This window comes from Homo sapiens, chromosome 1 (genome assembly GCF_000001405.40).
Source record: "Homo sapiens chromosome 1, GRCh38.p14 Primary Assembly".
Classification (NCBI taxonomy): domain Eukaryota; kingdom Metazoa; phylum Chordata; class Mammalia; order Primates; family Hominidae; genus Homo; species Homo sapiens.
The window spans coordinates 74,062,064-74,087,915 of NC_000001.11; the positions used below are offsets into that span (position 1 = coordinate 74,062,064).

The 25,852-nt window shown below is 32.7% G+C and overlaps 1 protein-coding gene across 8 annotated transcripts in view; it reads right to left on the reverse strand.

Moving 5' to 3' along the window:
* LRRIQ3 (leucine rich repeats and IQ motif containing 3) overlaps window positions 1–25,852 on the reverse strand; it is a 172,162-nt gene that overhangs the window by 36,049 nt on the left and 110,261 nt on the right. For 2 of the 8 annotated variants that reach the window (NM_001322315.2, NM_001105659.2), the window contains exon 6: window positions 12,598–12,727. The exons of 1 other annotated variant lie outside the window; for it this stretch is intronic. In NM_001322315.2, coding sequence (NP_001309244.1) covers window positions 12,598–12,727 — 130 coding nt within the window. Of the gene's footprint in view, window positions 1–12,597; window positions 12,728–16,591; window positions 16,656–18,325; window positions 18,950–19,854; window positions 22,154–25,852 lie in introns of those variants that run through there. 5 more of the 8 variants (XM_047445373.1, XM_047445378.1, XM_047445383.1 and 2 more) reach the window with 5 other exon arrangements.

The following is a 25,852-nucleotide window of genomic DNA, read 5'->3' on the forward strand; positions in this document are numbered from 1 at the left end:
AATTAAATTAAAAAGCTTCTTCTGCAAGGCAAAATAAATTATCAACAAAGTAAACAGACAACCTACAGAATGGGAGAAAATATTTGCAAACTGTGAATCCAACAAAGGTCTAGTATCCAAAAACCTATAGGGAACTTAAATATACAAGTGAAAAATAACCCCATTAAAAATTGGGCAAAAGACATGAAAAGACACTTTTCAAAAGAAGATATATATATGACCAACAAGCATATGAAACAATGCTCAATATCACTAATCATTAGAGTAATGCAAATAAAAACCACAGTGAGATACCATCTCACACCAGTCAGAATGGCTATTACTAAAAAGTCAAAAAACGACAGATGCTGCCAAGGTTGTGGAGGAAAGGGAAGGCTTATACACTGCTGATGGAAATGTAAATTAGTTCACTCATTGCAGAAAGCAGTTTGACAATTTCTGAAAGGACTTAAAACAGAATGAGTACTCAAAGGAATAGAAATCACAGCACTATTCACAGTAGCAAAGACACAGAATCAACCTTAATGTCCATCAACAGTAGACTAGATAAAGAAAATGTGGTATATACACAACATGGAATACCATGCAGCCATGAAAAAGAATGAGATCATGTCCTTTGTAGTAACATGGTTGGAGCTGTAGGCCATTATCCTCAGCAAATTAACACAGAAACAGAAAACCAAATACCACATGATATCACTTATGGGAGCTAAACATCAAGTATATATGGATACAATGAAGGGAACAGCAGACATTGGGGCCTACTTGAAGGTGGTGGGTGTGAGGAGGGTGAGGAGTGAAAAAATACCTATCGGATACTATGCCTATTACCTGGGTGAGGAAATAATCTGTACACCAAACCCATATAACATACAATTTATATATGTAGTAAACATTCATATGTTCCCCTGAACCTAAAATAGAAGTTAAAAATAGAAAGTAAAAACAATTAAATAAAATAGATACTCAAGTAGTCCTAAAATAACAACCACTACCAAAGCAAAACAAAACAAAAAAAATCAAAACAAAACAAAACAAAACAAAAAACCCCAAAACCAAACAACAACAACAACAACAACAACAACAACAAAACGAGGAAGGGTGTTTCCTAATTTACACGTATTTGTATATTTGTGAGATTTCAAAATTTTCTTCTATCATTTCTAATGTAATCTCATAATGAATAAAGAAAATGTTTTGTATCATTTCCATCTTTTAAAATTTCTTGATTCTTTTCATAACGTGGTATACTTGTATATGGTTTAAACTGGAAAATATTCCAAGCACACTTGAGAAGAATGTGTATTCTGCTATTGATGAGTGGTTTGTTCAATGTGGCTGCTTTAAATTGTTGGTCAAATCTTCTAGGTCCATTTGGATCTTCTACCCATTCATTGAATCCTTTATTCAAAGTGGTGTATAAATGTCTCCAATTCTTATTGTTGCATTGTCTATTTCTCTCTTCAATTCTGTCAGATTTTGCTTTCTGTCAATTTGGGGTTTCTATTGTTATGTGCATATATTTTTATATTTGTTATATATTCCTAAAGTGTTGACTCTTTCATTATTGTGACATGCCTCTCTTTATTTCTAGCAACACTGTTTTTTCATTTTAATTTTTTTGACTGACATTAATACAGTCCCTCCAGTTCTCTGATGATTGCTGTTTGCATGATATCATTTTCCATCATTTTAGTTTCAAATTACATGAAACTTTAAATCTAAAGTGTGTTTGCTTTAAAAAGTATGTAGGTAGATTGTTTTTAAATTAAATCTGGCAATCTGTCTTTTGATTGGATCTTTATCAATTCACATTTAATTTTATCTTGATATGGTGTGTGAACATTTTCTGTGGCACCATTTTAATTATTTTAATAATTGTTTAATTTTATTTTTGAGCCATATTCTCAGGGGTCACTCTAGGGCTTGCAATAGATATATATCTTAAGTTATCAAAATGACACCAGATTTCCAGTAAATTCCAGTAAAATATGAAAACTTTACTCTTGCAAATGTCATTCCCCACTTTTGTGCATATTTAGATACTATATATAATGTATAATGTCTATATATGGTAAAAATATTTTTGTAATTATACTGTATATATATTTAGAAAGTTGATGAAAAGTGGAGAGCAAGTATATATAGTCATAGAGCTTGTTATTATCTTTTTTATTTACCAATTTTTATCCTATTTCTTTCTGTAGGCTTGTTATCTTACATCATTTCATTACTCCAATATAGCTTTGTTACACCTGCCTCCTTTATGCTGTTATTACCAAATATATTACATTACTATATGTTATATGGCCAACAATATAATTATGTATACATATTGTTTTATTCAGTTGTTTCTAAAGTAAGTTAAAAGAGAAAAGGAGAAGAAAGGTGCAATTACATTGTGTTTTATAATTACTGACTTTATGACCTTTATTAGCACTCTGTTTTTTCATGTGGATTTGAAATACTGTTTGATGCCACTTGCTTTCAACTCATGGAACTTTCTTTCATACACCTTCTAAGGCACATCTTTTAGCAATGATATCTCTCAGCTTTCATATATCTGGGAATGGTTTCATTTCACCTTCATTCATCTGGAATGTCTTTATTTCACCTTTATTTTTGAAAGACACTTTTTCTGGATTTAAGAATCTTGGTTGATAGTTTTCTTTCAGCATTTTGATATTATCTCACTGCCTCTGGCCTCATTATATCTGATGAGCAGTAAGTTATTATTCTCATTGGAGTTCCTTGCATGTAATGATTTGTTTTTCTCTTACTACTTTCAAAATTCTATCTTAATATTTTGTTCTTAATATTTTGATTATAATGTGTCTGGATGGAAATATTTTTGTATTTATCTTATTTGGAGTTTGTTGATATCCTTAAATGTGTAGAATACAGTTTTTCAACAAATTTGGAAAGTAACTATTTTTTCAATAGTTTTTCTTTCCCTTTTGTCTCTTTTCTTCACCTAGTTCTCCCATTACATTTGGCTACTTAATATTTTCATATATTTCTCCAAGACTTTGTTCACTGTACTTACAATCAAAGAACTGCAGACTATCACAAGATAGCTGGCACTACAGAAGACTTCTAGTACAACCAAACCAATTATTTTTATTGCCTTCCTTATTCAAAAAGCTCAACAAATGTTCATCCCAGCTTATGCTTGCATATCTTCAGTGAAGGAAGTGACTAATTCTTAAGTATTTCATTTTGATTTTATGCTGGTCTAATTTTAAGAAAGCTTTATATTAAGGAACAGTCTCCCCTTGTTTTGATTCCAAGTCCCCTTAGCATCATAATTACCCTTCTCTCTAAAAGCTTCTGTTAGTTATAATCATTTTCAAAGGTGAATCATAATCCTAGAAGAGCTGACATCAGAGTAAAATAATAGGTTTTTATCTCACTGTAGATGCATCAATTCATAAAGCTGAAGTTATATCAGATATTGAAGAGGTACAAAATACACTGTTCCTCCATAGTTAACGTGAGGTCAATTAAAAGTTGGATGTCTTCACATGAATTTGCTTTAAATCATATATCGTTTAATCTGTGTTTGAATAGAATTTTTTAAATGGCACACTTATATTTGCTAAAAATTTTATATTCCTGGGTTTAGCTCTTTCAGTCTAAATATTTGTAATTTTATTTTTTATTAAATATTAGCTCACTCTTCTGGCCTCATAAAATGTATAATCATGTTGTTTGTACCTAATTCTAATATGGTAATAAACAGAATGATCCTGAGATAGCCCCTTAAAAAGCTAAGTTCAGGTTAACGTTGAAGCATTTATAATAGTTGTTAAGTAAGATTATTCAACTACATAAAAACTGAGGCAGGGCACAATGGCTCATGCCTGTAATCCCAGCACTTTGGGAGGCCGAGGTGAGTGAATCACCCGAGGTGAGGAGTTTGAGACCAACCTGACCAACATAGTGAAACCCCATCTCTACTAAAAATACAAAATTAGCTGGGCGTGCTGGTGCATGCCTGTAATCCCAGCTACTTGGTAGGCTGAGGCTGGAGAATCACTTGAACCCGGGAGGCAGAGGTAACAGTGAGCCAAGATCATGCCATTGCACTCCAGCCTGGGCAAGAAGAGAGAAACTCTGTCTCGAAAAAAAAAAAAAAAAAGTAAAAATGTACCCATACCTTAATATTTTCTATTTTGTCCTAAGATTATTAAGAAAATCTCTTAAATTCAAAGATCTCTAAAAATCAAGATAGCCTGTATATTACATAAATAATTATTTGAACACCAATAATAATGAAAATTAGATTTATTTGACATAATGTGTACTTAGTAATCCCCTATGGGCTTCCATTTCTTATCTATTTTCTTTCTAAATTCTCAAAAAATATTATACAATAGACACATTTTTTGGTATAACCACAGCTACTTTTCATAATACATTTCAGTTCTATGGGTATATGAGGTCTAATAACAACAATAACAGCAGCAGCAGCAGCTAACATTTATTAACAATTATTCTGTGCTAGATATTTTACTGGAAAATTGAGTATACACATGTGCTAGACTTTATGTCAAGTACTATCCATGCATTCTCTCACTTAATTTTCATAGCCTACTTATGAAATATATGTTTTTATTATAGCTATTTGATTATAATAAAAGTCCATCACCATGGTTAGTATATTACTCAAGATAATTAACACTAGATGCCATGGCAGACAAAACCTAAAATCATAATGGTTAACAAAACAAAAGTTGATTTCTTGCTCATTCAAACCTAAACTGGATGGGGCATTCTTCGTATGTAGTATAGCTAGACCATCTGAAACATAAGCTAGCTCTAGGGATGCTAAAGCAACGAAATAAAGAGAATGGTATGCTTAGCCCAGAAGTGACACACTTACTTTGAGTCAGAATTTATTAACCAGTAATAAATTATGTCACCCCAATTAAATTTAAGGAAAGCTAGAAAATGTAGAGAAACAAGTAGAATACTTTGTAAGAACAAAATTATTGCCACAAGTCACCAAAGATCCTTTGATCCCTTTTCGCCAAACATTGAACACACTCCTAAAAAATGACAACTGAAATCCCATCAAGTCCAGAATCTCTACGTGTGCAGTATCTCTCAATCAGGTCTGGATAAGTTTTTAATCCAGAGACTTATGAATTAAAAGACAAATCATCTGCCTTCTGCCCCACCCATTCTTATACACTTAAACATACAAAAGTGGAAGAGGGAAAGACTAACCACAAGTGGAAGTACACACTCTGTGAACTTCTCCTACCTTAAGGTACAGGTGGTTCCTGAATTAATCCCTGATTCTGCTTTCCGTGTGGAGTTAGTTCTCTTGCCTTCTGAATGTGTGGAGAATTACGGAATTGCCTACCTCAGAGGCTACAAAAGCTTTTTCAGTGCACTTTTTAGTGCTGAAGATGAAGAAATCAAGTGTATATTTAAGTCTTGAATGCTCAAAGGTATTTTAGGCTAAAATTCTCTGGTAATCCTTCTCTGTTAAAATTATAGATATCTGATCTATTTTCTTCTGTGAGTTCCATATGTGGTTGATCACAGTAAAAATTCTTTTGGAGTCATATGTAGTTTTCATATCTGCTTTTTTTTCTTAATTTCTTCCCACAATTCACTCTCTAGCAATTTAATGGAAGTTACTATAAATCTGGAATAATATACGGGAAGCCCATACGCTTAATCTAAACTGTGCTGTGAGTCATAATTTTCACTTAAGTTTGCGCCCTTGTCTAAAAGACTTGTTAAATTTATTGTTTTACTATTTGTTATTTAGAAGCAGACAGCTTTCCATATGTGCAAGGCCCTAATTTTGGAGGTCTTCTTTTTCTTTTATTTTGTCTTGAAAACCAGCTACTTTTCTGAGCTCTCTTTTTACTATAAGGTAACTTGCCAAACATAGTCAAGTACAACCAACACACAGAATCAATATTCCGTCTTCCAGCTTCTTGCCTTAGAGACATAAATTAGTAGGCACATAGTTTGCCTTCCAAGTTATCACGGGGAAATTCTTTGCTACTAAATAACTTGGACTGCCATCATTTCAGCCCCTGATATCAATTTTTTCATCTCCTATAACTAATCACAAAGATAAGGCCATATTTTAGGTTTTATGTTATGATACTAATTTCTGTATTTAATAGCATAATTAATCCTAATTTCCTTCACAGATAAACCCTGTAATCTCAACAGTTTAGTACAGTGAAGATTTCTTTATTTCTCATCTAAGAATCAATGTGGGTCAGGAGGACCTTGCAGCTATATTAATGGAACATATGGCCTCTAAGATCTGCATAGCAGGGAAATAGAACAATTCTCTTAATTTCTTTTACTCTGAAATGATCACTTTTACTTTTGCTCACAGTCAAGTGGAGAGACTGATCACATAATTTTTACATAACTGCATGGGAAGCTGGGCAATGCAGGGGAGCACATGGAATATATGGTACCGGTGCTTATAATTACAAAATAAATTCAAACATATCTGATTTAAATTTCACCTTCTTCCTCTCTGTTCTCAGTAGTAAAAGTATTTAAAATATTTTAAAAGCAATTTGAAATATTACATAGATACAAAAACAAAATACATTTTTGGTTTGTTTGCATGTTTGCTTTTAATTTAACATCTGGTGGCAAAGATTTCTAGTCTTATATGCATGAGTATGCCTTAATTGCTCATCTGGAGTAATTTAGTTGATATTATTTTATATCCTAGACTAAAATTCAGTCATTCCAGCAAACAATTTAGGAGAATGGTAAAAAAAAAAAGCACTGTTAAAATTGCATAAAGCACAAGTGGATTGAGATCAGAAAGGTGACAAATTGGATGAATTTGGAAGAAAAATGTTGGAGGCAGAAAATGTAATGTGTTTCAGTGGAAACCATAAAATCACCTTTAGAGTATTCGTTTCAGATATAAGTGGATTTGGAGCAAGACAAAGTATATAATGAAGGTAAAATAACTAAAGACTGCATAAATCTGATCACAGGCAGGTTGATACAATGACCCTCAAATAATTAAACTTTTGACCTTTTTGGCTGAATAGGAAGTAGCAGTTTTGTTCTCAGAAATATCTTTTATGTAACAGCTGGCACTTTCTGGAAAGTATTTGAATTTACTTCTTTACAACTGTATCTGAAATATGAATGGTCCTTGAAATGGCTATAGAAGATTGGCCCATTCTGCAGCTATACTTATTATAAAGGGTTAAAAATCACTAACAGAACACACACTTTTAAGGTTTCAATTTCAGTCTTGTATGCCACATCTTTTCAGTATAAATCAAGAAATTTGTATGTTAATTTCTAATACTGAAAATGCTTCTTACAGCAGCCGATGAAATAGGTATTCATGAAGTATAGCATTATTTAAAAATGTCTGACCTACAGTGTTATATCATTTTTGTAGAGAAAAATAAAAAAAATTGGATAAGCATTATAAAATGAAGCTAGGAGAAATAATAGCTTTAATTTAAGTTAAAGAAGATAAAAGCACCTATTATTACAAACTAGCTAATTAATAAAACAAGAATTTTGGATAATATTTATAGCAAAATCAATCAGCAGCTAAAATGTCACATACAAGTAAATTACCATTTATTTGATAATATAAATGAGACAACATAATATCTATCCTTAGTCACAAGCTACAAGTAGGTGCATGGAGACTTTGAACTTCATAATCTTCCAAAATTTCCACTGAAAATTGTAATATCATCCTTACAATAATATGCAAGCTCCAAGACAGTAGGATTTCATATGCCCTAGTTGAATTTTGAATGCCTAGGGCTGATAAAAATATTTATGTAGTATCACTAATCATTAAAGAAATGCAAATCAAAACCACAATGAAATGCCATCTCGCATTAGTCAGAATGGTTATTATAAAAAGTCAAAAAACGACAGATACTGACAAGGTTGTGGAGAAAAGAAAAGGTTTATACACCGCTGATGGGAATGTAAATTAGTTCACCCACTATGGGAAGCAGCTTGGTGACTTCTGAAATAAAACTTCAGAATTACTATTTGGCCTAGCAATTCCATTATTGGACATTGGACATATACCCAAAGGAATATAAATTGTTCTATCATAAAGACACATGCACACATGTTCATTGCAGCACTATTCTCAATAGCAAAGACATGTAATCAACCTAGATGACCATCAATGGTAGACTGTATAAAAAAACGTGGTACATACACAAGATGGAATACTATGCAGCCCCCAAAATAATGAGATAATGTTCTTTGCAGCAAGATGGATGGAGCTGGAGGCCATTATTCTAAGTGAACTAACACAGGAACAGAAAATGAAATACCACAGGATCTCACTTATAAGTGGGAGCTAAACATCAAGTACATATGGATACAAAGAAGGGAGCAACAGACACTGGGCCCTACTGGAGAGTGGAGGGAGGCAAGAGGGAGAGGATTAAAAAAATATGTATTGGGCACTATGCTTACTACCTGAGTAAGGAAATAATCTGTACACCAAACCCCTGTGACATATAATTTACCCATGTAATAAACCTGCATATGTACCCCTGAACTTAAAATGATATATATATGTATATATATAATTGTGTGTATATATGTGTGTGTGTGCATGTTTAGTAATAACTTATGATTTAGTAAAAAGAAATCTAAGCATAATAAAATACCTCTCAATTTCAAAATCTGTTGAAGGGGCAGGAGGAAGGAGTTAAACTATCTGTCCAACAATCCACTCATTTTGTTTATAAAATGAGGGCATGTAGGAAGAAAAGAAGACTGTGATGTAATCTAATCTCCATGTCAACTGGAACTCCAGAAAAAATAGAGAAATTATATTTTTCAGGAGAAAGACACCTTACCTATTGCATGCCTTTAGCAGGGTGGTCCGTGGCTAAAGATTATTTATATATATCAATATATATATATAACTGATTCCTTGTCTTTGCTATATATACATATATATATATACACACACACACACATACACACACATTATATATATAACTATACAAATTTTATAGTTATATATATATATAGGTTGTTAGGTAAATTGTTTGTATGTATATATAACTATCTATTGTCTATCATCTATCTATGTAGTTATATATAGTTATATAATCTTTTAGAGACAGGGTCTCGCTGTGTCACTCAGGCTAAAGTGCAATAGCATGATCATAGCTCACTGCAACCTGCAAACCTCAAGTGTTCCTCCTACCTTGGCCTCCCAAAACTCTGAGATTACAGGCATGAGCCACTGTGCCCTGCCAGGATTGCTTCTGTTAAATAAACACAGAGTCTGTAAGGTGTGTTCCCTGGAAAATGTCAATAAACTACACAACCCTCTGGAAAATAAAATGAAAATATTTTGTAATGTAAACACTTGCCTCCGTTGGAAGTAAACTCATAATCCTCACTAGAGACTTTGTTTTTCCAAGTCAGAAGTGCATGTTCTCCAAGGGAAGAGAGGACCTAGAAAGCTACCCTTGATGTCCCAGATGTCTCCTTGTTTCATTTGAGTCTTTTGATTGTATCCTTGATGTTATTAGTACAGTTTCATACTGAGATAAGATCTTTGATTTGTGTCATTCTAATTTGATAAGCCAATCATGTTAAACTGACTTATGAAGAAGAAAAAGAAAGGCACATATGTTTTGTATAATAATAAAATATCATTTAGACTGGAGCATGTTCAAGACTGAAAGGCACTGTTATACACCAGGACAACAGGCACTAACTCAGACTCTCTGGGGCCAAACTGGGACATGTAGTTATAGTACAAATAGCATGGGTCCCTTTCATTAGTGTATTTATCTAATAAATATTTTAAAAGTTTTGCCAACTTTGAAAGTCTAGGTGAGAAAATGGAATAATATGGTCCCATATGGGATTTGTAATACTCAACAATATATTAATTATTCAGGCTGATCTTATATTAACAATATAAGGATTAGAAAATACATAGAATAACATGTTATTTTCATTTAAAAATTAACAAATCATATATTACTTTTAAGGGTAGTTTGATTATCACCATTATATTTAGCCACACAAATATCAGTATTTAAGAATGGTATCTAAAAGTTGGAATTATGGTAATAGGTGATATGAATAGCACTCAAATTAATCTATACTCTGTCAGAAACATTAAGCATCGCATATATCTCAAGTAAGTCTTATATAATGTCTAATGTTTAGGAATAGCTCAAGGAATGAAGATACAAAAGTGTGCAAGATATGTAATTGATAATACCAGAACCATTACTTACTGAGGTGAGCTTCTCTTGGAAATTTTAGAGGTAGTATAAAATCTTGCATATTAGCTAAATTATGTGATTCTTGTTCTTATCAACTAATTTAAGGACCATAGATGGGCTTTGGTGATCCCATGAACCTCCTAAAATTATAAATAAAATGCTTTTGTGCTCATATATATATATATATTTTTTAATTGAGAGATTAATGTTTTTATCACGTTCTTAAATTTCTTCATATTTGGGCTTGTGAACAAAGAAGAAAAAATAATCAGTGCTCAGGAGTAATAGTATCTAGGAAATAGGTCTACTGAGAGATGATCCATATGGTGGGGCAATTTATGCTCACATTTATGCTCTGATTATGAAGAGATCTGTAGCCTAGTTGGAAGTAGGTACCTATTAGCAGACTGAACCATTTTGAAAAAAAATTTAATCCACAGTCATTCACTCAAATTCCCTTTACCTTAGAAGGCAGGAGTAATATCTAGAATTTATTATATCCAAAATTAACTTTGTGTATGAAGTTTTGATTATTCGAATATTCTGACCATAATGTTCTTTTATAATTCATACATATATATTAAATTTTCAAAGTATAAATATAACAAAATATTGATAACACTAAAAATGCTTTTGGCTCTTAATTTAGAATTTTTGATACTCAGAAGGTTGATTTCTTTCTTTCAATGCCTTGAGATTATTGAGAGCATAAAAAGTGTAAAGTTTAAAATACCTCAAAAGTGTTAAATATTATCAATGTTTTTACTCCTTTACTTCCATTCACTCTTAACCTTCTCCAACATGGTTCCTATCTCTGCTCCTTCGCTGAATTTGCTTTTGTCAAGGCCACCGTTGATATCTATGTTCCAGATTCAATAAATACTATTTAGTTTTCATATTCCAAGACTTTTGGCCAGGCAAGGTGGCTCACGCTTATAATCCCAGCACTTTGGGAGGCCGAGGCAGGCGATTGCCTGAGCTCAGGAGTTCAAGACCAGCCTGGGCAACATGGTGAAACTCCATCTCTACAAAAAATCCAAAAGATAGCTGTGCATGGTGGCTTATGCCTGTAGTCCCAGCTACTTAGGAGGCTGAGGTGGAGGATCGCTTGATCCTGGGGGGTCGAGGGTGCACTGAGCCATAATCACTCCACTGCACTCAAACTTAGGTGACAGAGTGAGACTGTCTTAAAACAAACAAACAAACAAACAAACAAACAAACAAAATAAAAAGACCACACACACAAAGGCTTTTCAGCTGGCCTTCAACACAGTTGAACAGTCCATTCTTTAAAAAAAAAAAAAAACAGTTTTATTAAATTAGTACATGTGTAAAATGGAGAACTGATGAAATAAAGCCACTGGCAATGAGGATCTAACAGAGTTTGACCAATTCATATGCAAAGAAGAGAAAATCAAATGGGATAAAGACACCATCATGGGATTAAAAAAGAAAGATTTGAATGTTTAAGAATTAGGAGAAGCCCTTGAGAAAAATAAGACCTTCAAATGATTTTACAAAAGTGATTTTATGATTCTTCTGTGAAAGATAAAGAAAAGTTTATCTAATCATGACAAATTTTATCAGAATAAATGTTGTAAAACAAAATCAAGATCACATTTAAAACTAAAATTTTATCAGCAATAAGACAATAGGCATTTTTATTCAACAAAAATGATTATGACCAAAGTCTGAAAGAAATTTAATAATTTATAAAATTTAACTAATTTGTAATAATTATTCTGATACTTGACAGATTTCCTGAAGGAGGTACAATGCTGACATAGCCATACAGTAACAAAGCTATCAGTTCAATGATTCTTCCTAAAAAAATTTCTCCTAATTCCCAACTTCTACCCCAAATGAGGTTCTTGATATCCATAAAGTAACCTTCTGAATATGTATATTTAGAAAATGTTGAATAAGATATGATTTTTTAACATTGCTGTAATATTTTTAATGGGAATAGAGAATACATAGAGAAAAGTGCACAAATCACAAGTGTATAGGTGGATGAATTCTTCCAAAGCATGTAACCAACACACAGATCAAGAAATAATATTATCAAAATCCTAGATGCCTGTCTGTAATTTCTTCCAGTCACTACTCCCCTATGAAGATAATTATCATTTTTTAGCTTTTTATACACGGATTACATGTACTTTTTTGTGTCTGGCTTCATTTGCTCCAAGATATGGATATTTTATCTAGAAGTCTCAACATATATTTCATAGACTTTTGGATTTATACTTGCAAATCAACATGCCCAATTTCTAATTATATTATTTACTCTTCATCAAAATATATTTATTAAATATAATTAAAAATTCATATAACTAACCTTTTTGAATGAGATGTCTTGATGTTTTTGATTTCATGCCTAGATCTTTTGGTTTTAATTCACATAAAATAGATGACACATGTTTTCTGTGTTCACTGGAATTTTTTAAATCAACAGGATAATATATATTCTGTGAAAATAAAATAAAAGCAATGACAATGATAATATCTCATGTGTTTTAGAGTTCTTCAAGGGTTTTCACATGAATTACATTATCATGATTGATTTTCATTTAAAACATGAAAACAAAAACCTGTGAGGTAGGCAGGGTTAAGAAAAAAATTTAAAAAGCTCCATTGTGTATAATTTTAACAATCTGTCATTCTACTAATATTGTACCTTGGCCAATGCTGTGAGAGAGATTGAGGGAAAGAGAGACCTGCCAGGAAAGTGCTGTGACAAAAGGAACAAGGGAAGAGGGAAAATAAGGAATAAACAAAGAGAAGCAAGATAGTGTTCCCCAGAAAGCCTGAAGGAAGATTCAGAGTAATAAAGGGAGGTACAAAATTATTTCACAGAGCACTAAAAGGCAGTAACATGGGGGAGGAAAAGGAGGGACAATAACAGGAAGAAAGGAAGGGAGAAACGGGACCAGAATTATCACACATGTTAAAACTACAAATGGGCCAGGCACAGGGGCTCACACCTGTAACCCTAGCACTTTGGGAGGCCGAGGCAGGTGGATCACCTGAGGTTAGGAGTTCGAGCCCAGCCTGGCCAACATGGCGAAACCCTGTCTCTACTAAAAATACGAAAATTAGCCAGGTGTGGTGGTGCATGCCTGTAATCCCAGCTACTCAGGAGGCCAAGGCAGGAGGATTACTTGAACCCAGCAGGCGGACATTGCAGTGAGCCAAGATTGCACCATTGCACTCCAGCCTGGGCAACAGAGCGAGACTCCGTCTCAGAAAAAAAAAAAAAGAAAAGAAAAAGGACAAATGGATCAGCTATGTGTGGGAAGAGTAGCAAGTAGCTTCATGGGGAACAGAGGCATTGTCAAATGTAAACTGTATAATATCTGTGAACTGGTTGGGATGTTTTAGTGACAGTGTTATCTGTTTTCCTCTTCACAGTTCATCCAGGACTGTTACGGAGCTTTCATCAGGTTATCAGGGACATAGGCTCTTTCAAAATTCCTTTATCATCTCTTACTGTATCTGCATGGGTACTATCCTCAAACTTTTCACATGAGTGAAAATAGCTACTAGAGCTCCAAACACCATTTCAGTCAGAAGTTGGAGGAAAAGGGAAATGACAAAAGGACACAGGCCCTGTATCTTAAGGAGCTTTTCCAGAGGTTCTTCAAATAACTTCTGTTTAATATCTCATTGGCCCCACATCCGGCTATGAAGGGGAGGGTAAAGAATAACGTATTTTGCTAGGTGTTTTGCTGCCTGGAATGAAATTTGGGCCCGTTACCATGACAGAAGAAAAGAGTAGATATTGGTAGGCAACCAATAGTCCATCAGAGAAAAAGTTCAGAAGCTTAGATGAGGGTATGTGTTTACATATTAAAAAACTTTCTCGGGATATGATACTTTCTTTGGTAAGAAACACTGATCTGACTTCTGAAGACTCACAAATATTTAGTTTCCATAGATCTTTCTGAGATCTTTGGTTTTGTGTATTTGTTTCTGGAACATTTACATAGCGCTTATCATTTGCTATTGTGAAGTTCTTTATGGATATTAACTCATTTAATAATCAAAACAACCATAAACTGAGCTCTTTCACATGGACATCTCATACTCAAGAGAATCAAAACAATATTTTTTTCCTCCAAATATATTAGTTCTTAGTCCTAGTTTCAGTGAATGGCACCACATTCATTTAAGAAGAAGAAAGTCAGGTAAACTCTCTGATATGTCACAGCTGACAGAATTTTGAAATAGAGAATTCATCCTCACATTTCCCCCATTACTTCGACCTGTTCACTTGTTCAAACCTCCTTTATTTGATGATTTAGAAAAGACACTTGGATATGTGCCTTGGTCCCCTGTATTTACAATTTTCTTAGTTTCTATTATTTAAATTTTATATGTGATATTCTCTAATTTACTTATCAAAAACAATTTGTCTCCAAGCAGTGACTCATAGGGTAAGGGCTTTTTAATGCTCATTATAGGTGTTAAGTATCATCTGTTCCTGGAATAAACCTGTTTTTATTTTTCATTTAAAAATTCTTCACTCAACTCTTACACAAGACAATTTCTATTCACTCTTTATGTGATAAAATCACCTCATTTTGCTAGAAACACAAATAAGTACTTTTAAGCTCATACATTCTCTTTACATTTAAAAATTTTTCAATGTTGCCAAGGATAATTAAAATTTAAGAAGTCACAATACCAAAACATATTGTCAAAATATGACACAATTTTAAGTAATGCTGCTTCTATTTTCATTTAGGCCCTGGTTTTTCTATTAGAGAAGTATGACAAAATACAATGTGTGGCACTATTTTGCAATTCCAGTCTGTAACAACAACTCTAAATACTTTTTCAACCTCAAATTCTTCTGCAAGTCCTCTTCAAGTTGCATGATCACTCTCGTATTTTCCTACTTCTAAGAATTTTGCTCTATTTGGAAACTTCTCTCTGTTTCTGCCTCCTAACGATGCAATTCATCACATGTTGAAAATCACCTCAAATTGCATTTGAACCATAGAAATGTGTCATTTCTTTCTTCTATATATCTCACTTTTATCCTACCCATGATAAAATAATGAGTATGTTCAGTGATCCTGTTTCCACTAGTACTTACACCTTTAGATTCCCCTGAAAAAAACAAGAACCCCCCCCAAAAAAAATCTGTCAAATTTGAGATATCCAAACTCTATCACAAATACAGTTAATTTATAAACTCATGAAACGTAAAGGGTCAGAAATTAAGTAGACAGCTAGTTAGCTCCTTTTAGAAATATATTTTCTTCGTTTCTCCTAATTATCCTTTTTCATGTATCTGGCTGTCATTGCTTGCCACATTTTATAAAAATATTTCCTTCCATGTTTTTAGAAAAGAAGAATTCATGACAAAGGGTACATATATGACAGGGGAACAAATCTACAGAAAGATGAACAAAAAGTTTAAAGCTCTAAAGGAACTGAGGCTTACACAAGCTGCAAAAGTAAAGAAATGGGCTTTTCTGTTATATGTAATGCAAGAAGGGAAAGAGAATGTGTGCACTTACTGATAGATCTTTGAGCTCATAGAGAAGGAAAAGTTATCAGAAGACTGGGAATGATCTAATAACGATCTTACTTTCAATAACAGAAAGTATATTTGATTAACTACCCTACTTTAGACTTAACACTGGTCCTCAATAATTGCAGAAAATATTTTAAGGATATTTGGTAGCACTTAGTAAAGGAATAATAATCAAGGAATAAGTTGACAATAAACTAATTATATCAAATACAATTTCATTTTTAACAAGGTCAAAATTAATTCAGGTTCAAATATCCTTCGCATGGTAAACCTGTATTCAGCAGTATGTTTGATAAAATCTTTCATTACTTTTAGATAGAGATCAGAAACGTTGAGTGACCATGAAAGACTGAAGATTAATAAAATGATGCCAAGCTGAAGGGAGGTATCTAATGTCATGATACATGGTTCTGTTTTCAGCTCCATTCTGGTCAACGTTTATATAAATGAGAAGTAAAATATAAAAGAAATGCTTGCTACCTTTTCCAATGAGATAGTAAAAAAAACAAAATCAATTAATACCAAACAAAAATCTAAGATAGTGTCAACAGCCTGGAAGTAAATTAAGCAAATGAAGTAAAATAGAAATAAATATTGCAGTTGGGCAACATACGCTTAATCACTGGGATACTTGGTGGTGATTTTAAAACATGCATGATAAGACATATTATATTATATTTATAAAATACGTTTTAGTTAAAAGTAAATTAGTTAGGAATTTGTTATGTGATGTGACCCTAAGCTGTATTAAGCATTTCGTTGAGAAAGAGAGAAGCAATAGTTTTACCATATTCACTTCTGAAGAACTATGTCAGATCAGGAAAACATATCTTCAGATGATTTTGGATAACCTGGAACATGAATAGTAAGCAGCTTACCTACTGAATTATTGTGAACGTAAGCCCTATATAAATAGGCTATAGATAAATCCAGTATAGAGAAAAGATAAAGGGAGATTCAGAGTCCCTATTTCCTCCACTATCCATCTTCTTCATTTTGAAAAATAATGCAGAAAAAAATAATTTTTTGATCAACTCAGAAATACTTAGAATTTGTTATTTAACCCTTCTTCTGAAACCTTATGCCTAAGCTATCAGCAAATCTTGGCAAGGCTACTTCCAAAATATATTTTAAATATGCTTCCTTCTCTAAATTTTCAGCTACTTCTCTATTCTACAGCTATAATTGTCTATTTCTGGTCAATCACAAATGCCTCTTATTGGACTCTGCCTTCACCATGGCTTTTATAATATACATTTTCATTTGTCAAAATGTAAATCCAATCATGTTTCTCTTTTAGCTTTAAGTCCTCCTACTGTTCAAGATGCTAAGTCCTTTCTACGAGGTATAGAACATCATCAAAATATGGCTCCTCACCACACAGCCAAACTCATCTCATGCTACTGTTGACTTGGTTTATTACAGTCCTGCTATACTAGATTTAATGCAGACTCTTGAACAAACCCCAAACAAAATAAGCTATTGCATGCCTCAGGTCCTTGTGTAAGATCTTTCTTCTGCCTGGAACACTCTCCTTCCCAAAATGTGCATGGCTAGCTCCTTTTCCTTCAGGACTTAACTTTAAATATTGTCTCCTCAGAAAAACCATCCATAACAATCTTATGAGAAATAGTCCTCCTCCTATTATTCTCTATCTCAACATCCTACTTGTTTTATTTATAACATTTATCACAATTTTGTTTGCTAACGTAGGTTAAGATTTGTTTTGTTTTGTTTTTTCCCTAGAATCTAATCCACAAGGGCAAGGACTTTTCTTTTCTTTTTTACTCAATGCTGAGAATGTTCTCTGACACTCAATAAATACTCAATAATTATTCATTAAATGCTGAATGAATATAGCCAAAGAGAAATAGCAGAAGGAATGAGTGGAGATTTAGAAACTTCAGTTCAATATGATGTAAAACAAAGCTCCATTCTTTGGAGACAGTCCAACAACCAGAAATAATTTTAAAAGAAACGTATAGCTTGTATTTTCTACAGGACTTTGCCCCAATAACACATTCAACATTCTCTTCTTTTCTTCCTGAATTCTTTCACATCTTTTTGTTACTCCAAAGCTTCTCACTCAGCAACCCTTCACAACTCTTGCATCTCTTTATAAACTGTTTATCACGATTCTCTGAATTTAGATTCTCTGAATTTTTTGGTGTTTCTATCAACTTATCAATTTCTGAATTTGTCACACACACAAAAAGCATAAACATAAACATGTGGTAAGAATAATTATATCTTTAGTCAGATACATCTATCTACCTGTTCTGTTGATTCTATATCACACACAAAAAAAACCAAAACAGCAATTAAAGAGCCATCCTTAGGTAATTCAGAGTGAAGAAGCTAAGAAAAGATAATCTATAATAGGTATAGAAGTGGGGGAGACATAGTATATTAATAAATCTCATCTAATCATAATAAGAATTTCTCAGAGCATTATTGAAAATTGGAATAGATTATCTGAGGAGCTATAGAACTCTCCACAATTGACAAATTGAATAAGTACCTGGTTATAAAAGTCAGATGGATTATGGTACTAGATATGTATTTTCCCAAGAGAGATAATGATTTATCTTTAAAAATTAAGGAGCGGTAGCAGTGGTAACCATTGCCTCTATCTTCTTTCTAGATCAAGAATAAACACTTTACACTGAACTCTGCTGTCTTTCAAATTCAAGGTGCATTTTCAACCCTTCCTAGTTTGAGTTTCCCAACTTAGCCTAGTTAGAGCTCTAAAAAATTGTAATTTTGTTTTCACATTCTGAATGATACAAATCAGAGTGCTAATCCAGATCTTACCTTTTCCAGATAATACTCAAAGAGATTATACTAAAACTCAAACAAAAAGAGTCGCCTTTATTTGTTTGAATGAAAATCGTTAGCTCTAGTGTCTGGCAGCACAGCCTCTCATTAACATAGTATGCAAAGCCTTCACCTTAGGGGGAGGTTAACGTGTACAGCAATCCATGTATGGCAAGTAAATAGGGTTGTCCTCAAAGTGGGTAAACTATAGAGTAGCACTTGGACTCTGCTTTCAATAATAAGTACTGGCTAACAAGAAAAACCATGGAGAAAGGAGCATGGTTCAAATGGTTTAAAATGAAGTTTTACCAGAAATAGTTACTAAAAAGTAACTCTAAAAAGTTACTTAAAAAAGATAACCCCTTTAAGTGACTGGCAGGTTTAACTGAGGTTTGAATAATTGCTACTATCCTGCATTTGATATCAATCTTACTTTATCTTAAGAGAGTGAACTAGAAGTGATAATACCCTTGATACGCAGGAGAGAATCCAAAAAGAATAGCCTGGATAAATAAACACAGGAAACATATAGTATAAATAAAAGAAATGTGACATTTCTCTTCTACACACAACTTAGCCAAGAAATGAGGGCACCTGAATATTATATTATGCTGCAAGTGTCCAGTTTAAGAACACATGACAAAAAAGATAATAGAAAGCTTATGTTCCCTCAGTTCAAGAATGGTCTAATAGTCTAAGGTCTATCTTTACTAAGATTGGAGGCACCAATGTGTAAATTAATGATGCCTACTCTTAGCTACACTACAGTGGGCACTTGGTAGTAGCCTTTGTAGAACCCAGTGAAAAAGAGATGTTGCAAACTTCCATGAGATTTTAGAGCAGGTTATAGTTTCAAATTGAGGAAAAAAACAATGCTAGTTTGTGTATTGTAGTAATTGATACTAGGTGGAATAAGTAAAAGAAAGGACATGGGGAAATTTCAGAATATATAGTTTTCATTTTATTTGAAAATCTCTCCAAAAATGTATTTGATTAATTTTTGTTTACGTTTCAATACAATTCTATTCACAACCCTATTTTTCTAGTACGTGGATTACATTATCTAGTAGCTAACATATTATTAGTAATGATTAAAAATAATTCTATATCTTTATCTAAAGATCTCATTTTAAACAGAGTATAACTCTCCCTTAAATAATTAATATCATTGTTTATAGCCTTCAAAGCATTCGTTGCATTCTACTTTATATCATAGTTATGTCCATTGCTCACCCCTAGTAAAAATTACTCTCTCTGAGGACTGAGGTTGTGGTTTACTTATCTTGATATTTCCGCACCAGTTTGATTGTATTCTTCAATCTGTTGTATTATCAAGTCACAAACAACAAAAAAGGATAATAAATTTGATTAGTTTATTCAACAACTATGTATTGAATGGCAGCTATATCCATGGCATAATATTAAACATAGGCACAAAGTTATTATTAGTAAATATTTAAATTATGTCTTTTTCAAAATATTTCATAATTTACTGATTATTTCCCTATGTAGATGTGAAAACAAGAAAAAAAGGCATTGAAAGTGAGAAAAACATAGTAGAAAGCATAGGCTAAATTCTTAAGCTCCTGATTAAAATCTGCATTTTATTAAACCTCATGTTTTAGGCCAATTAGTTACGATAATATTTTCAATTTATAAATCTAATCATTTTAATGAAAGAGACATACGTATATGAGTAATATGAGTTTACACTGCTTAAGTAATTTGCAATTCTGAAAAGTTCATAGGGTCATGTAAAATTTAATGATGGGCAATAAAATGGAATTTTCAAGAGGGAAATTCTTTTTTCTTAACAATAAAATACATAGCTCAAGACTCTATATTTCTAAGTATATTTGAACAATGTCTATATTTATGAAAGATTTAGAAAAAAGCCACAAACGGGGACTTGCCAATATTTTATTACTGATTAGTTTGCTCTTACTTTACCTAAACACCTTAAGTAATCCAGCAATTTAGAATTTATGTGTTTTAAGTTTGAGTTTGAATCTGAGGAGGGATTTATATTTTTTCATGAGAAAAATGTCTCCTATTAACAAAGTAGCTATATATATATAATTATATCTCTAAAGTAAGGCATATTACAATCTACTTGCATGTACTTTATAAACACATATTGATAAATTATGAAATTGACTCAATAACAATTACTTGAATAATATTTTCTAAAATTGAGGTTTTATCCCCCTGCAACTTGGAACAATATATTCATTTTAGGATTTCAGAATATTTCTTAAGTGTTACTTCATGTAAGTTTTTATTACAATACTGAAGCCTAAAATGACTGTCTCATATGAAGTATAGTTATGTTTCTTCTCCGCCAAATGCCACATGTATCTCTAAAACTTCAGGGACTCTTTTTATCAAATGATGGATTATATAACAAGGCAGAAAATACACACACACAAACACACGTGCTTATGTATGTACATATATATCTCCTGAGGCTCAGTCTCAGTAAACTGCTATCACTCACCCAAGGTAGGCAGCCTGAAAATTCTACAGCCTCAGTACAAATCTTAGTCTGTTTCACTCCACATTGTATTCAGCATAGCTTGCTTAATAACTTTATGCCTACTGCTCTGGTCAGAAATATTTCAGCCACTGCCCAAATGTTAATTATTTACAAGACTCCAATATTCCGGGGACTGGATAAGGTGACTCAAAACTGCCCTAGTTGGCAAACCATTTCTACCAACAAGCTTATTTTAAGTTCTTAAGCAATTAAGGCAAGTGTTGTCAGAATCTTGTATATTTTATTTTTAAAGGCCTTAATATAAAGAAATGCCTGCAAGTGACTGTAAGTCTCTCTGGGCTTTGTAGGTGAATTTTGTCAGCAAAACCCAGGCTTATATGGAGTATCTAAAAAACTATCTTAACTAGACCAGAGAGCATCAGTGTGATTCAATAGTTAATATTTTCCTTCCAAGTCATGCTGCCTAAATAAGTTTTGAGAAAATTCAGTGCTGTTGATGTATAGGTAAGTCATAAAACACAAATCTTTGTCATTTAAAGCTTATACCAATATTGAAACACATTGAAATAGCCAATCTCTCTTACATTGAACAAATAAAAATTCATTCTAAGTAAGTGGTAAAGAATGGTGCTTTTATTGATCTTATTATCTTTTTCATTAAAAAAGGATGAACAGCTTAAAAGTTTTTGCATTAGCAGTCTCTGCAAAGCAATTTTTATGATGGTATGTTTCATTCAATTTAAGAATTGTAATGTTAGCTTTCTTATATGAGGAAGGAAATAATATCATGAACATTTTAATGCAAGTTTTAAAGTGTTAATAAATGCTAGCTTGAGTGAATTACTAAGTGTATTTCTCTTTTCAACTTTACACTTATCTTGTGTGTACAGCTGATATCCCTAGTGTCCAATCAGAGACAAGTTTTCATCCTGTTGTCCAATGAATGATGTGCATAATTCCTTTTGGCACTGATGAGAGATGAATACACACATCCAGCCCACTTCAGTGAAAATTGACCCATAATTTTTTTTTATCCTGAAGAAAAATACAGTAATAAAGTTTAAAGATGGAAAAAATCAGTTAAACTCTTGAGGTGTACCATTAGTTAACAATAATCAGCAAACATTACATTTTGCCTGGAGGACAGTGAGCTCAAGATTTGCTTTTAGGTGCTCATGAATTCTAATAATCTTGGCTCTCCAAATGATAGCAAGAAACCTAAACATGTGAATTTTCACATTTCAATGAGCTCAAAAGTTAAAATTCAAAAGGACAGACATACTTTTTAATTATTTTCTTCTATCTCTACTGTCCCCAAATATTTTTCTTGTGAAACGAGTGTATGCATTTCTGATAAATATTTAGCAGTTGAGAATATATATTTATTTCCCACAGAAAGACAAAAAGTGCAGATCTTATGTAAAACTCCAATGCTGTCTCTCTAGTAGTATTATCAAGATAATACCAGAATTCTAAGAATTAAGGGGAAAATGACTTGGCATACTGAGGCAGACTAATTGTCATATATACCAAGTATTTTACCTTTAATAGTAGTAAAAAGGAATATGCCGTAAAAAGTTGTTTATCCACCAAAACATTTTAATTTTCTTTAATAACCCTTAAGAATCTACTATTCATTAATTTATCTATGTGATTTATTTTTGGTCTGTTAATATCATCAGCCTATAGAATTTCCAGAATAATGAATTTCATTATAATGACCACGGTACTGGTAACCCCCTTACTTTATCTATCTTTGAAGGGTATTCCAAGTTCTACTATAACAGGACTGTCAAGAAAATCAGTTTTATTTCTATAGCTCATAACTTTATGTTTTATTCTTTGACTTGCATCTTATAATGTTAATGTATTTTCTTTCAATGATTCCCTTCAATCTTCCCACCCACATACAAATATCACAATGATAAGCAGATTCTGTCAGCTATTATTTTATATTAGGGCAGTAGAATAATGTTTTCACAAAATATATGAAAATGATTATGTGATTTATAAGTTGTAACTCAAAACAATATAAATAGAATTTGGATTCTGCTTTTTAAATGCAACAGATACTATTTTAAATAAATAAATATTTTTTGAGTGCATCCTATGTGCGTATCACTATGCTAAGTACATGGTGGCAAAAAAAAAAAAAAAAATAAAACACAACCTGCCATAAAATGGCTAATATTTTTAGTGTAAAAATGTTCATATAGAATAGTCACCTTAAAAGGAGGTCGAATATAAATAAATTTAAATAAAGACATAAACAAACCTGAATAACATCAGAGAGAGACTAATTTCCCCTAATACTAAAAGTGATCTTTACTAAAAGAGAATGAATCTTCATTCTGGATGACATCAGAGACTATGTTATTTTATTTACCATTGCAAGTTGAAGTGAAGAGGGAAAAGATAAAGAGGTACAATCTTGGAATAAATTATTCCAAAATAAATTGAAGTAGTTACCAGGAAGGAGGTTTTAGCCTGGGAGCCCAGAATTTAATTTAAGGCAAATGAACAAAGGCTTTTAGTGCCTACTTTAAGATAGCATAATTGTAGAAAGAAGGCAGTGTGCTGGAATGGAGGTGAAGCAGAGAAGGACATATAGTGATGCTTTTTATGTCAGACCTATCTGTGAAAAAGACTTTGCTCTCAATAATTGACTGATTGATACATAGGCACTAAGATCAAACACAGTTAATTCTAACACACAATTCTAATAATGGAATCTCTCACAATATGCAGCCATGGTTTGCTTCTGAGAAAAAAGCTGCTGGTAGAAATAATGCTCCATCTCTGTAATCACCCTCTCCATCCTTCGGAGCTACTAAATCAACAAACAGAGACCCCACTCTCTTTCCAGTTCTAGTACCTGTGACAGGAGCTATTTAAGTGTCTTCAGGCCAAAATTTAGAACTCTTGATAAATTTATCTTTGTGAACAGCCTAACATATAATGCTGGTAGTTAGGTTTTTACCTCATTTTGAGACTTCATCACCCCTTTCTGCCTTTGCAATGTTTCCCAGTTTCTTCAAACTTGACATCTGCCTTGAGCCATTTCCTAAGCCTCTATTCTACCTATCCAGTCTTTAGTCCGAGTTTTCTTCTTAAGACAATACTTCAGCATGGTGTCTGGGATTTGATACCTGATGACAGATTCCATTAACCGACTTTTAATCTTAACCTGGTCCAATTTCAATGTTGCTAAATGCTTCATGACAGTTGCTCAACTCTTTCTTGCCATGTGGACAATGAATAGAGCTTACAGTACTCACTGGATACCAGACTGATTCTCTTTTTCTAATTCCTAGTGCTATAACCATTCTGTCTCCTGTACTGTCATACTAGCCCAGTCCAAATTCTTCCTTAGTTTAACCTATTGTGTTTTAATTAATATACCATCACCTGTGAATCTCAAGATAAAGTGTATGTTTAAGTTTTAATATGAGTAATAGGCTAAAAGCTCTAAAAGTTATCAAAAGATTGAGCTCATTGGAAAGCATCTTAAAGAAACTGGGAACATGAGTTAGGCAGATGTAAAAGAGTAAATAATACTTAATTTACATTAGGAAAACATGAGGCAAACAGGTAATAATGGACAAAAGACTAAAGAGAATGGTGAACAGACAACAAAAAACAATTAAACAGTAAGCCAAAACACCCATAAACTCCTGTAATCTATAATCCTATTATGCTCTTTTATCTAGGCTCTAGGAAGTTTTCTACACTATCTTGTCATCTGTAACATTTCACCACCTACAAAACTTTAGGCTGACAGGTGTAAGAACTTACTCTTTACTCTTTCCTTCATATCTTAATTACAATTAAATAGCAATCCTAACATTTGGTTGCTTATATGGAAGATTAAATAATAAATGTAACTTGTTTACTCAAAGTATTTTGATAAATATTATGCATATAACTCCACAACTCCACATATGGTATTAAAATATATAGAGAGAACTTTTATTGCCAAATAATCATTTTGAGTGCTCAGGTGAAATTAAAATGTTCATTAACAGCCCTATCCACTTGTTTCCACATTTTGTCTCATACATCTCTATGTTTAAGATAATTTCCTTTCCATTAACACATTTGCCAAGCTAATTCTCACTTCCACAGTTTTGATCATATAGTTTTCTTAGTTAGCATTTTCCTTCCTCTGTTCTTCTGAATAGTATTATTTAAAATTTTATCTTTTTTTTTTTTTTTTTTTTTTTTTTACTTTTTGGCTTTCATTTTTTTCAATGATCCACCACAGAGTTGGTGTTTAATTATATAAACGTATTGGTCTCTATTTCATCTGTATTCCTCTATTACCTCATCTAAAATGCTATTTCATAAAAAAAAATCTACCCTCTTTAATTATCCCATTGCATGTTGAGGTGAAAAAGGCACATAAGAGCATAGAATGTGAAATTTTTAGCTAATCTTTAGTACTTATGTAAAAACAATCTGTGTTGATATCTGTATTGATACTTATATCTATAAATTTGTGTGAGTACCTATCTACGGACCTTTAAGTATATGAGCAAAACTGATTTTTTAATTATAAAGACCATCATATTTGCATTATACTGTGTGGCCGAACAGTGGGATAAATCAGTATTTCTATAGGTAAAAAAGTCATCAGGCTGGGGGCCGTGGCTCACAGCTGTAATCTCAGCACCTTGGGAGGCTGAGGCAGGTGGATCATGAGGTCAGGAGTTCAAGACCAGCCTGGCCAATACG